Genomic DNA, 14,431 nt, shown 5'->3' with positions numbered 1-14,431 from the left:
TCTGTGCACTGGGAGGGCTGATCCAGGGTTCCTTGCCTCTGGTTTTGGCTGGGTTTAGCAAATGAGAGGCAGTAGCTGTAGATCTTAATGGTAGAAAGAGACAGAGGTTGGGTTTTTTTTTTTATTTTCTCCCGCCCTCCCTTCCCCTGTTCTTCTGCAGCCACATAGGCCCTGCCTTTTGGTTCCCTGCCACAACTCAGCCCTCACTGTACTGTGGAAACCCCATCACCCTCTCTTGTCTGTTCAGGCCTAGATGAGCTAATAGCTTCCCAGTTATTCATCCCTGGGTGCCTCACCATCCCTTGCTGATTCCTTTTACCCTGCTGAACTCTATAAATAGTCCCTTGATTCAATTCTGCTCAGTGAAACTCTTTTGAGTCTGCTTCCTGCCAGGTCCCTAACCAATACAGGCCTGCATGTCCTTCTCACCCCCCAATCCCAGCAGATCCAGTCACAGCAAACTCCTTGCTATTTCTTAAAGATGCTCCATGCTTTTTTGTTTACATGCTTTTTTGCTTTCACACTCTTGTTCACACAGATCGCCCTCCCTTGAAAGCCCTTTGCCACTATCTCTGCCTAATAAACTCCTACCCACCCCTTAAAGCCTAGTTAAAAAGCCACCTCCTCCAGAAAGCCTTTCCTAGGCTGTCTTCTCAGGTGGAAAGAATCTCTCCTCTGGACCCTACTCAGTTTTATCTGAATTTCTATTACCCCCTCAAACAGGTCTAATTCGTGCTCTCCTTCCCTTTCATCTCAAGCTCCCAAGGCAGAAGCATTTGTCTGCTCATTCCTGTACCCCACCGCCCCGGCATCAAGCTTGACACACTGTAGGTGTTTGATTGACACCTGCTGCATTGAGCCGAACCAGGACTGCATTTTAATTGCTATTTAATGCACATGCCCAGGAAGCCACTGCACTTTCTAACCTTTGCTCATCAAACCTGATTATGAAAGGCAGGAGAAAATCACTGAGGGAGGATGTCATGAGCAAAGCATGAAAACTGGGCCACAGGAATGTGGATGAATTTATTGTCTCAGGGCCATCGAACCCAGAAGTGTGTCATAAACAGTCTCTCCAGTAACTCCTGACTTGTGAGATGTTCTCCTTTTACAATGGCTATGGTGCTGTACACATGACAATTCAAGTGCCCAGCTCCTCACCTGGGGATGCCTCCTGGGGATGGAGTCTTAGGAGTCCTTTGGGCTCAAGTGAGGGTGAGCTTAGTTGGGAAAGTTAGGACCAGCCCACAGGAATCTAGTCTCTCGAGCAAATATCCAACTGGCTTAGAGCCCAGCAGGTGGGTGAATCTATCAGTCTCGGGACAACCAGACTCTCACTCTCCCACAGGTGTATCAGTACCATGCATGTGTGCTTGGATTATTTCCCGAGATACATATCTATGACTTGTGGATTCCAAAGTCTTGCATTTTCTACCTGTGGTTGACTCTCTTTATTCTACTTTTTTCCTCTTAAAGTGATTTGTTTGCTAATCTCATGGGTGATTCTACCTATCATCTTGTTTGCATTCCTGTGAAGACCCTTTATCTATCCCACGGTCACGTTCCACTCTTTCCCTTCCTCAGTATCAGGGCAAATATTTGGCTTCCAAGCCACTGATGGAATTTCTGTCCCTTGGCTCAGACTTGTACGGTTTGGAGAGGCCCTGGAATCCTCTGCTTGAAGGGTACACCTTTTCCTCCACTTTAACTAACATCACGTGTCCCAGATCACTGCCTCTTTACAATAGCCAGTTTCACATGCCTGTAAACACCTTCTTGGTTCACTACACAATCTTAGGAAGCCATCTCCCTGTGTGTAAATAAAATCTGACCATCTCTCCTGCAGCAGGTTTTAGTCAGGTACAACTTAAGATCAGATCGACCTCTGGGAGAAAGAAGGTGGCCGATCATCCTGGATTTTCTAAACCTGCCACAAGCCTGGAACTCCTGGGCGAACTCTGAACTCAGAATGCTAAGTCGAAGTACCTGGGTCTCCACAACATTCTTCAGCCCGTTCCTTAGGTCTGCTTACAAAACTTGTGTCATCTTGAATGCTCTTCCTCATGACTCCCAACCATGCTGCCTGACTGCTAACTGTTCACCCTTCTCTCTTAACATTTGTGGAGTTGTAACTTTCCCCACTCCCAGAAGGACCACAGAAACATTTACTTTTATCTTTAAGTGAGTTAAGACATATTTTAAGAATTTAAAGAATTTAAGACACAATAACAAACATTCATAAGGAACTTCATGATTTCAAAAAGTAACTCCATGTGGATCAGCTCATTTAATAACAACAGTGGATTACATTAAAGGTCCAGAAATGACTGTGAATGCATCTGGGATGACCACCAGAGACCAAAAAAATCAAACATGGTGAGTATAATCTTTGCACAGTAACACTTGAGGATTTTGTTTACTCTTGGAATCTATTTTTTTTTTTCTTTTTTGAGACAGAGTCTTGCTGTGTCACCCAGGCTGGAGTGCAGTGGCGCCACTTTGGCTCACTTGCAAGGTCCACCTCCCGGGTTCACGCCATTCTCCTGCCTCAACCTCCCAAGTGGCTGGGACTACAGGTGCCCACCACCACGCTCAGCTAATTTTTTTTTGTATTTTTAATAGAGAGGGGGTTTCACCATGTTATCCAGGATGGTCTCCATTTCCTGACCTAGTGATTCACACACCTCGGCCTCCCGAAGTGCTGGGATTACAGGCGTGAGCCACTGCCGCCAGCCTACTCTTGGAACCTTTTATTATATGTCTGTGGGAATCTTCAGCCCCCTTAGTACTGCCCTCATGGAAAACAGATGTTCCCTGGGAAATGAGGGGAGGTTCTAAGAGGGGAGAGAGAATCTAAGAAAGAATTACTGGCTGCATACTCCACACACTGTGATCTGCCAACCCTTTTCCCTAGTACACAGGGCCCTGAATAGGCTTCAGGAAGCCTACACAAGCTCAGTGATGAGCACCAATTAGATAACTTCAGGGTTCTAGATCTTAGGTGCAGTAAGTCCAGTCTTTCACAGTTACTGACTTGAGGTTAAAAAAGCAACCAAGCATTACTCAAGTATTTCCACTTAAGCAAAAGTAGACGTAGATTTCTATTTTTTTTTTTCAAAATAAATAAGCTAGTTGGAGATTATTGGAAAATACCAATATTCAATGCAGATGTTAAACCAGATACAGAGGAGACCCAGGCATGCTATTTAAGGTTATGGTTTCTGAATTGGCAACAAGATCTTTTCTTAGGTTATATCAATTTACTTAACATAGAACAGCATATTTCAGGCCTTTTCCACTTAATAACAAAAGTCATCTGTACACAAAGCCCAAACACAACCATATAGCATTATATGTAAAATGTGCAAATGTACTTTAAAATGCAAGTTATTCTAAAGCACTGGCAGGATAGAATTTCATAGTAATTTGGCCGGGCATGATGGCTCATGCCTGTAATCCCAGCACTTTGGGAGGCTGAGGCAGGTGGATCACTTAAGGTCATGAGTTCTAGACCAGCCTGGCTAACATGGCGAAACCCCGTCTCTACTAAAAGTACAAAAATTAAGTCAGACGGCAGGAGCCTGTAATCCCAGCAATTTGGGAGGCAGAGGTGAGTGGATCACTTGAGGTCAGGAGTTCAAGACCAGCCTGGCCAACATGGTGAAACCCCCTCTCTACTAAAAACATACAAAAATTAGCCAGGCGTGGTGGTGGGCACCTGTAATCCCAGCTACTTGGGAAGCTGAGGCAGGAGAATCGCTTGAACTCGGAAGGCGGAGGTTGCAGTGAGCTGAGTTGGTGCCACTGCACTCCATTCTGGGTGACAGAGACTCTCCATCCCAAAAACTAAAAGTACAAAAATTAGCTGGGCGTGGTGGCACATGCCTATAATCCCAGCTACTCGGGAGGCTGAGGCAGCAGAATTGCTTGAACCCAGGAGGTGAAGGTTGAAGTGAGCCAAGATCATGCCACTGCCCTCCAGCCTGGGTAACAGTGTGAGACACCTTCCCAAAACAAAAAGAAAAACAACAACAACAACAACAAAGAATTTCACAGTAATTAAAAATGTCTTCCTCATTCTAACTAACTTAATCTTTTGCACGTAGAGCCAATGGAAATCCACAAGGCACAACCCAGCATTGATGCTGAATTGAGAAACATCCTCAGATTATTTATTTGTAGATATTAAAATATTATTTTTCTGGGAGCTCATTTCTAAACCTTCATAAAACATTATACTGGTAACTTATGTGTGGTCAGGACAAACTGTTCTGTGAACTTAAAAGGTGAAAGACAAGACCCTATATTGCTATCCAGTATAAAAAAAGGAAATATGGGCCGGGTGCGGTGGCTCACCCCTGTAATCCCAGCTCTTTGGGAGGCCAAGGCAGGTGGATCACCTGAGGTCAGAAGTTCAAGACCAGCCTGGCCAACATGGTGAAACCCCATCTTTATTAAAAATACAAAAAAATTAGCTAGGCATGGTGTTGCACATCTGTAATCCCAGCTACTTGGGAGGCTGAGGCAGGAGAATCGCTTGAACCTGGGAGGCGGAGGTTGCAGTGAGCCAAGATCATGCCGCTGCACTCCAGCCTGGGCGACATAGTGAGGCTGTATCTCAAAAAAAAAAAAAAAAAAAGAAATATATGTACACATACACCCCCACATCGCACACACGAAACTCCACCTAATCCAAACCGAGGCCATTTCCTTATTAGCAAAGGTATTTCATGACAGTTAAATATTACAGACTTATTTACCACTTGTTTTGGTCAATCTTGCTACAAAAAGACACTGAAACAGACAAGTTTCTTCTTCAAGGTAAAGATGTCTAATTTAGAAAATCTTCCTGTTGTGATTGCACAGTGAAAGGTATATTAAATATAAAAGCTTACTGCCTTTAAAGAAATTATTTAAATTTACACAGAAGAAAACATCAACTTTTTAAAAACCAGTAAGAGCACTGTCCATAACACAATCAAAAATCTTTCAAACCCAATCACAGTGCTCTTTGCTGTTTTATGACAACAAGATCTTTATCTCCATCACTTCAAGAACTCAGAATCTCTTCAGTCTGGTGAAACCTCAGGAAATTCTCCACATGCAAGAAAGAAATCCAAGAAGCGGCAGCAGAAATGGAGCAAGCCTGTTACATCTCCTGGTTGACAATTAACTTTTGCTAATGAAAAAGTAAAAACTTATTTTCCGACTCTTTGGTGACCACATCTAGTGTTTACCCACGCAGTTGTTCAAAGTCTCCTGGAACAGGTAGTACAGACAGGCTAATTAATTTCTTATCATAGAAATAATCTCCAGACAGGGAGAGAAGTGGGCAGAATTTGGATAAGGATGTGAAAGGACACTTGGAGGGGGAAAATCCAGAAATAAATTCAATGAATGGTGTAAGAGTTGCTAAATACCGTAGCTGAAAAGGCTCTACCATCCAGGGTTGATTCAGTGCCAAGCTGTAGCCCAATTATGGAAAAAGAGATGGATCTTCCATTTTCTCTAATTAGCCCAGAGAATTATCTGGAGATCAGGTGGGTTCTGGTGCTGGTTTCTTGAGAAGATCAGATCTTCCTTAGGGTACAGAGATGCTCTCCAGTCTGGGAGCTTCAGGGTCATGCAGTGCTCACAATAAAATGGCTTCAAAACTGTTAGCAACCAGACTTGCTCTTCTTCTGGGGTCCCCATTCCAGGAGTTAAGTATGTTTGGGATGACTTAGGCTAGCATAAGAGTTCCTCATGGTCTTCACTCAAAAACTCATACAACTGAGTGGGCTTCTAGGGGATCAATGGGATTGGTTCATCAAAGATTTACCTGTTTTAATTCTTCAGTGAAGAAGGTTGTAATCAGTCAGATATATCTGGGGGCACCTCCTGTGAAGTAAGTACAATGCTGGATGCTATGATGTGACAGACCTGTGTAGTATTGCATTCTTGTCCTTAGGAAACAGGTAAGAAAAAGTGCGAAAGCACAGCAACACATATATTAAATTATAGTTCCATGTAATACTGAAATTGAACCTAAGAGATGATAAGCCCTCCTTATGTGTATCATCACCTTTATACAGACTTGCTCGTTCCAGTCTTCAAGCCCAGAAATCCTACCACACCTGCTCAAGGCCATTCCAATTATGGCCTCCTCCAGGAACTTTCCCAGTTGCACCTTCTTTGAAGGCCCACAGCATGCTGCAGCCTCCTTGCAGCATTTACCACACTCAGGATCATGTTAGTGATTGTGGATGTATTGCCACCAATGGACTGAGAGGACAAAATACAGACTTTGACTCTGCTTCTCTTATCAGTAACATCAGTACTTGCTCAATTTAAATTCAGTTCCTAATTGATTGCCAAATGAATAAACTTTTCCCAGCAACAAACAATACTTTTCATCTTAGGCACCAATTCTGTTTGATTAACAGTGGTTGCCTGGAGCAAAGTTTCGAGGATTCTGAGGCCATGACAGAGCTCAGTAGTGAAGAGTACTGTAATCAGTGATGTCTGCCACAGAACAGACGTGGGAATGGTGGTGCTAATGGTGATAATTTATGCATATAAATCAAGGGTTAAGAATGTAGAGAAGGGAGATTATCTCCAACTGCAGTCAGAGAAGTCTACAACATAAAAGTGGTAATTAAATCCATCTTCAAGGATAGGCAGGATAACAGTGAGTGAAACATTTGAGCAAAAGGATTAGGGCATGAAAGTACAACAGTTCTGGGAAAGCAACTAGATGAGTTTCACTAGAATTCAAGCTCAAACAGAAGGTTTATGTAGGAGAAGCGTAGCGGAAAGGACTAACCACACGCAATAAAGATGAGCTACAAGACTGAGAAAGGATGAAGCAAGAAGGAGGAGAATAGGCTTTATTTGGCCACTTTGCAAGAAAGAAGCCTGTCTCCAAGTATGGTTCTAACTACCAATTAGGTGTAGGTGTATCAAGGTTTACTAGGAAGGAAGAAGACTTGCTTAATGATTAATAATTAGTAACCTAAGCTTTGGAATCAGACAGTCCTGGGTGCTAATCCTAGCTCTGTGTGCTCAGCTACATGACCTAAGCCTTGTAAATTTCAGTTTCCTCATCTGGTAAAATGGGAACCCCCTAACTCATTGTACTGAGGGTCAAATGGGAGATAAATGTACATAAAACTCGTGGTAAATTCTCAATAAATATTGATATTAGGGTTGGTTAGCCAAAGAGAACTTTTCAAGGGAGAAAATATGTCACTCTCACTTTCTCTCTCAATGTCTCATACTTCAGGGAATCTTTTTTTTTTTTTTTTTTTTTTTTTCTGGAGACAGGGTCTCATTCTATCACCCGGGCAGGAGTGCTGTGGTGTGATCTTGGCTCACTGCAGACTCAACCTCCCGGGCTCAAGTGATCCTCTCACCTCAGCCCCCTGAGTAGCTGGGACTACAGGCGTGACCCACCACACCTGGTTAATTTTTGTATTATTTGTAGAGATGAGGTGTCACCATGTTGCCCAGGCTGGTCTTGGACTCCTGGGCTCAAGCCATCTGTATGCCTTGGCCTCCCAAAGTGCTAGAATTACAGATGTGAGCCACTGTGCCTGGCCCATAATTTGGGGAAATCTTAAATGAAACCTGCTAAGTGGCTCAGAAAACAAGTCTTTGAGATACCCACAGAAGTTGAACAGTATCAGTTTATTTTCCAGTAATGGGGAGAGGCTCAGAGATTAGGCTCTCTGTAGTTTAGGCATTTCTGGTGATGGTGCATTTTTTTATGTTGACTTAATTCCTTACTGAATTATTAGTAACGAGGTAACTCTTAAGCAATAGAACAATGGTAGAAAAATAATTGTACATTCTCACCTAAGCTCTCTCCTATAAGGATTTCCCCCTTGGTTGAGTAAGTGCTGTAGTTTTCTTTGTTTTGTTTTGTTTTGTTTTGTTTTGGAGATGGAGTTTAGCTCTCATTGCCCAGGCTGGAGTGCAATGGCGTGATCTCGGCTCACTGCGACCTCTGCCTCCAGGGTTCAAGCAATTCTCCTGCCTCAGCCTCCCCAGTAGCTGGGATTACAGGCATGCACCACCATACCTGGCTAATTTTGTATTTTTAGTAGAGATGGGGTTTCTCCATGTTGGTCAGGCTGGTCTTGAACTCCTGACCTCAGGTGATCTGCCCACCTCGGCCTCCCAAAGTTCTGGGATTACAGGCGTGAGCACCGTACCTGGCCAAAGTGCTGTAGTTTTAACTACATCTGGAAGTGTTATACCCAAATAGTTGTCTCAGAGAGATTATAAGAATAAACACACCATGTGGCCATGTGGACCCTCTCTGAGGGTGTTTCCGAAGCCAAGTTCCAGTCCCAAAGTCTGCTATTGCTTCAACATGCAGACCAAGCAGAGAGTCACATGATGATAGCAGGAAAATTGTTTGAACCTGGGAGGTGGAGGTTGCAGTTGCCGAGATCACACTACTACACTCCAGCCTGGGTGACGGAGTGAGACTCTGTCTCAAAACAAAACAAAATAGAAAAGGCCATTTAAAACACTTTCTACTATCAAGAGCCTTCCTAGACATGCGGAGATCTGCTGTGACAATTGTCCTGTGTTGGACACGGTTAGGGACTCTGAGACTAAGAAAGGGCTCGGGAGTGGTGACCTCAGCATGAGTGCAGGACTGGTGGGACGTCTTATCTTCTCAGGGCTGGGTCTGGGGATTAGTGGTAGAGAACAGGGCACTGTATCCCTCCCTGTCTTGGCTGAGTGGGAACCGCTGCCCGGAGCTCACATAGCCGAGGCTGGGCCTGGGAGAGGAACATGAAGCATCTGTGAGCTGGGATGAGATCTGTCCATCCCAGAAAGTATAGGACTATTTATTGGAAAGGAAATATTCTACCTTTGGTAACGGAACAGGCAGTCAGCAGATAATTTTCAAAGTAAAGTAGTAAAATTTCTGAAAAAGAGTGAGTCACTGAAACACTTCCTTTCTATTAACAGAGGTGTTACTGTGGGCTGTACTAATTACAACAGAGTACTCTTTGTTGCAGTTTGGGGCTGTTCCTCAGCAAGTATAATGTATTAACTCTTTCTAAATCAGTTTCTTGGGCGCAGTGCAGTGGCTCACACCTGTAATCCCAGCACTTTGGGAGGCCGAGGCGGGCAGACTACCTGCAGTTAACAGTTCGAGAGCAGCTTGGCCAGCATGGTGAAACCCCGTCTCTACTAAACATATAGAAAATATTAGCCAGTTGTGGTGGCAGGCACCTGTACTGCCAGCTACCCGGGAGGCTGAGGCAGGAGAATTGTTTGAACCTGGGAGGTGGAGGTTGCAGTAGCCGAGATCGCACTACTGCACTCCAGCCTGGGTGACAGAGTGAGACTCTGTCTCAAAATAAAACAAACAAAATAGAAAAGGCCATTTAAAACACTTTCTACTTTAATAGACACTGCTATGGGGAGTTTAAACGGGCCACTCAATGTCATCTAAAATGAGTTCATTTTCTTCGAGAGTGCTTGAGTTGTCACAGCATCTGTGACCCCAAATCTCCAGCGACACGGGAAATTTGCAATACCTCAGGCGAACACAGCTTCCCTGGCACCAGGCCAGTGTGTCACGGACTCCCTAGGACAGTTATTTTCAGTCTCGGCTCTGTTAAAGGTAATCACAATTTCTCACAAGCAATTAATGTGGAAAGCTTTCTCTCTTTATAAGCAAGTGCTCTCACATGCATACATGCTCTCTAACAACTGATTCCTAATCCTACCTTGTCTGACATAACCCAGGCTTTACCCACCTGAGCTCCACCACATCCTGAATTTGCACACAAAAATTTTCTACACAGCGTGTTTTCATTTGAAGCTTTCTTTATTTCTTATGCCCAGTGCTCAAATTTTTAACAGGTGAGCAACTTCAATTTTGTAGTTTTACTGTACTAAATAAAACACCGTATCTTAAATTAAGCAACATCTAACAAGATATTCAATATTTGCCAACCACTAGCAATTTATATTCAGTCTTCCTCATAGGAGGCATTAAGATTGTATATACCAACCTGCATGTGCAGAGTCTAATATGTAAAATCATTTTAAAGATTCATTTTATAATTTTGTGTTTAGATCATTTTGTTGGAGTTTTGATAGACTTGAGTCATATATACCTTGCATAGAACAACCAAAAATCAGAATCATTTCAGTGATGCTTCAAATCTGATTCTGATTTAGTTGCAAAAATGAAAACACCAGGCATAAGCATTCAAAGCCCAGTTTCTTTTCCTAATTCTTTAATATGTAGAACTTTGGCGAGGCCAGAAGGATCTCTTCTCTAAGGTACTTAACTAAGGAGATAAGATAGATGGAGATACATAATATATGGCTGGGCCCCGTGACTCATGCCTGTAATCCCAGCACTTTGGGAGGCCAACGTGGGTGGATCACCTGAGGTCAGGAGTTCGAGACCAGCCTGGCCAACATGGTGAAACTTTGTCTCTACTAAAAATACAAAAATTCGCTGGGTGTGGTGGTGGGCACCTGTAATCCCAGCTACTCGGGAGGCTAAGGCAGAAGAATCGCTTGAACCTGGGAGGCAGGGGTTGCAGTGAGCCAAGATCGTGCCACTGCACTCCAGCCTAGGTGACAGAGTGAGACTTGTTCTCAAAAAAAAAAAAGATATATATATACATATATAATATGTAATCTTATATATATATAATATATAATCTTATATATAATATATAAGATTATATATACATATATAATATATATGTATATATTATGTATATAATACATACATATGTATATGTATGTATACATGTAATATATACAGAGACAGAGACCACATATCTCTCAGTATTTTAGAGAAAGTATAAGCAATATCATATATATACACACACACACACATATATATATATTTTTTTGCAGATGAACTTAACTCACTAGCAACTCCCAAATTTCTAGAAAATATTATGGAAACTAATTAGTAGTGCTCATTATTTTGCTAATATTGTCATGTCTGTGGCATGCTATGGAATAAATATATTAATACAAATTAAATATATATGACTAAACTAGCAACCTTGTCTGTTTTCATCACTTTTCAGAAATACATAAACATAAAGCTATATTCCTCATTGAAAGCAAAAGTCCCCATTATATATGAATAACTATGCTTTTTTTTGTTTTCCCTATGTCAAACTGATTATTGTTGTGGAAATCACTGGTTTTGAGGATATAGGAACTAGGCTATTCCTGTCATTTTGAAGAAACTATTATTTTATTTAGTGTTTTTGGAGTATTGTGTACTTTGCAAATATTTTAAATTAGAGACATATAAAGTCCAAAAACATACATATATTAGACCTTCTATTACTGTTGTAATAAACCATCTAATAATACTGACATAGAACATATTACCATGGTAATAGCCCCATATACAATTTACATGATTATCCCTATGTCACTGATCAGCAGTTCAAACACAGAACAGTTGACTCAATGTCTAGGTCATTTTATCATCTTGTAATGCCCTTTGAACCCCCTTAGCTCCTTACAGAAGAGTTCCTCTGGCTCCCAGCAATGAACTGAGGAATGAATATACAGTCATAAAGCTAAAGGTTCTTAAAGCTAGAAGGACTCTCAGAGGTTTTATAACCCAAGTCAACAATTACTCAGCACGCATACCACTAGTTCCTGATCCTAAGCCAGTGCCAGACAGCAGTAATCAATTTCAGACTTTTGTTTTCAACTCTTTTTCAATAAAGATCATACCAGATAGTCCACTACCTATAAGTGGTAATAGATGCATGAATAGAATCTTCTTTGCTCTCCCAGCTAATCTAAGTCCCTTTCTTGTTAATAAGAAACAAAGACTCAGAGAGTATAGGTATCAGATATACTTTTTTAAAAATTAAAAAAACAGTTAAGAGTCAGTCTCATTACTTTATGGCCTCATTTTATTTTTTAGTGCCTGTGAAATGTAATAAGAGGGACCTCAAGGGGTCTGTAATCTAGTTTTGAGAAAGAAAAGATCAACATGCTTGATATTTATATAGATTCATCAAGTGTTAATCTATGTTGCTGACATAGATCAGAGGGGGCTGAAACAGGCAGAGGAGAATTTATGGAGGTAATAGAGTTTGATTTAAGCTTTAGGCTCATTTGTTCCCTTGACAAACAAGGACAACATTTTACTAACTCTCTGGGTCATAAATGGCTCAGCAATTCAACAAATGTATTCACCCTACTGTGCAATGTGATAGGTACTATGGGCACAGAGAAGAGCAACACAAACGTCCTTCCCTTAGGGTTCCTGAATTGGTGAGGGAGGCAGAAACATCAGAATATAGGGTAATAATATCACACAGCAGCGGGAGAGGATAGTGGTTAGAAGCAGAGGCTCTAGAGCCAGACTTCCAGGGTTTGAATCCCGGCTCTGCCCTCGACCTTGGGCAAGTTTCTTAATTCTCTGTGCCTCTGTTTCCTGAAAATATGCTTGATGGAAAGATTAAATCATTTAATACCTATATAGCACTCAGAACAGTTCTTGGCACAGAGTAATGGATACACCTAAGTCTCAAAAAAAAATTTCTGTTTTTTAAAACCACCCGGTTTGTGGTAATTTGTTAGGGCAGCCACAGGAAAGGAATACAATGCTTCACCCTTAACTCCTCCCTTCCATCTCAGGAGTATAAAGTCCCGTTCTCTGGCCAATCCCCAACTAGGTCCCTCCATTTCACACTGTCTTCTACTGTCCCAGGCCTCACTCCACCCAACAGCATTCATTATTTTCTCTCTCTTCTGCATTTATTATTATTATTTTTCAGAGACAGGATCTTGCACTGTCACCTCAGCTGGAGTGTACAATGATGTGATCAAGCTCCCTGCAGCCTGGAACTCCTGGCCTCATGTGATCTTCCCACATCAGCCTCTTGAGTAGTTGGGGCCACAGGCACGCACCATCGTGCCTGGCTAATTTAATTTTTATTTTGCAGAGACAGGGGTCCTGCTGTGTTGCCCAGGCTGGTCTTGAACTCCTAGCCTCAAGCAGTCCTCCCACCTTCACCTCCCAAAGTGCTGGGATTACAGACATGAGTCACCATGCTCAGCTGCATTTTTATTTTTAATGATCACTTCTCTTCAGGTTCAGTCAGACTCAAGTCTCCTTAAAAAACAAAAAACAAACAAAAACAAAACAAAACAAGGCTGAGTGCAGTGGCTTGCACTTGTAATCCTAGCACTTTGGGAGGCTGAGGCAGGAGGACAGCTTGAAGCCAGGCATTCAAGACCAGCCTGGGCAACAAAACGAGACCCTGTCTCTTAAAAAAAGAAAGAAAAATACTCTCTGGATCTTAAACGTGACTTCCACTTTCTCTGAATTCTTTCACACCTAAGTGCCTCCAAATAAAAGCCCAGAAGGTCACATCCCTGTCCTTTGTATCCCCAACGCTGTTGAACTTCCTCCTCAGACCCTCTCACTCCTGCCCCCGAGCCTCTCACCCATCACTGTTCCTGTTCTTAATTTCTATCACACCACGTCCGGTTTCTCCTGTGGGCCCCTTCTCTTCCCAGACCTCCAATGTTGGGGTTGTCCAGAACTCTGTCTTTGGTCTTCTCTTCTCCCTTTTCTCCCAGGATAGGTTCATTCATTCCCAAAGCCTTAACCAGGTCCCTGACATGCTGTCTTAAGTCGACACTCCACTCCACATTTGTCTCCTGAGCACCAGACTCACTTAGCCAGGTGTTTGCTGCCTACCTTTACCCAAACACCCTTCTGGCTCCTCAAACTCAACACGTCCACCGTGGAACATGCCATGTTCTTTTCCAAGTCGGTGCCCCTTCCAGGACTCTCTGTTTTGCTGGAGATAGCCACTGCCTTCTCCCTTGGACCAAATCCAGCCAAGCCCTGCAGGTTAACCTCAAGCAGCTGTCTTTTCATTCTGTTCCACTCCTGGCTGCTCAGCTGAGGCACCCATTTCCCCTTTCCTGGACCTTGGACCTGAACCACCCTATTGCTCTGCCCCCAGCCTCACCTCCACTTCATCTCCTCCTACTCTTTCCCTCCCTCATTCTACTCCTTGATGTTTCTCACACAAACTAGGATGCTCCCCAGATACCTGTGCAACTTGTTCCTTCACCTCTCCTCCGTCTTGATTCAACTGTCACCTTCTCAGTATGGCCTCCCCTGTCACCCTGTTTAAAATTGCAACCCCCCACCTTGCCAGCCCACTCCCTGCTCTATACTACTCCAGAACACTATTCTCATCTAACATGCTCTATACAGTAGGTTACCTATGTATTCTATTTATGGTCTACCTCTCTCTACTTGAACATTAAGTCCCATGAGGACATGCTGTGTGACCCGGCTGTAGAACAATCCCTGGTGCACAGTGGGGGTCTGATACATATCTGTTAAATGAATGAATGGCTTAAGTGTTGATTATTACAGGGATATTCCTAAACACTGCTG

At 42.8% G+C, this 14,431-nt stretch overlaps 1 protein-coding gene across 5 annotated transcripts in view, besides 1 other annotated feature; it reads right to left on the bottom strand.

Annotated features, from left to right (window-relative positions):
* The window catches only part of SLC1A1 (solute carrier family 1 member 1), a 97,002-nt gene that overhangs the window by 77,785 nt on the left and 4,786 nt on the right, over positions 1 to 14,431 (bottom strand). The gene's annotated exons all lie outside the window — the stretch shown is intronic.
* Positions 2,871 to 2,930: an enhancer, noted in NCBI's record as "active region_28147". NCBI's record gives its function as "activates an Ori minimal core promoter by ATAC-STARR-seq in GM12878 lymphoblastoid cells {active_cell/tissue: GM12878}" and the evidence as "EXISTENCE:reporter gene assay evidence [ECO:0000049][PMID:35858748]".

Source organism: Homo sapiens, chromosome 9 (genome assembly GCF_000001405.40).
Source record: "Homo sapiens chromosome 9, GRCh38.p14 Primary Assembly".
NCBI classification, from domain to species: Eukaryota; Metazoa; Chordata; class Mammalia; order Primates; family Hominidae; genus Homo; species Homo sapiens.
This window is presented reverse-complemented; position numbering and strand designations above follow the sequence as displayed.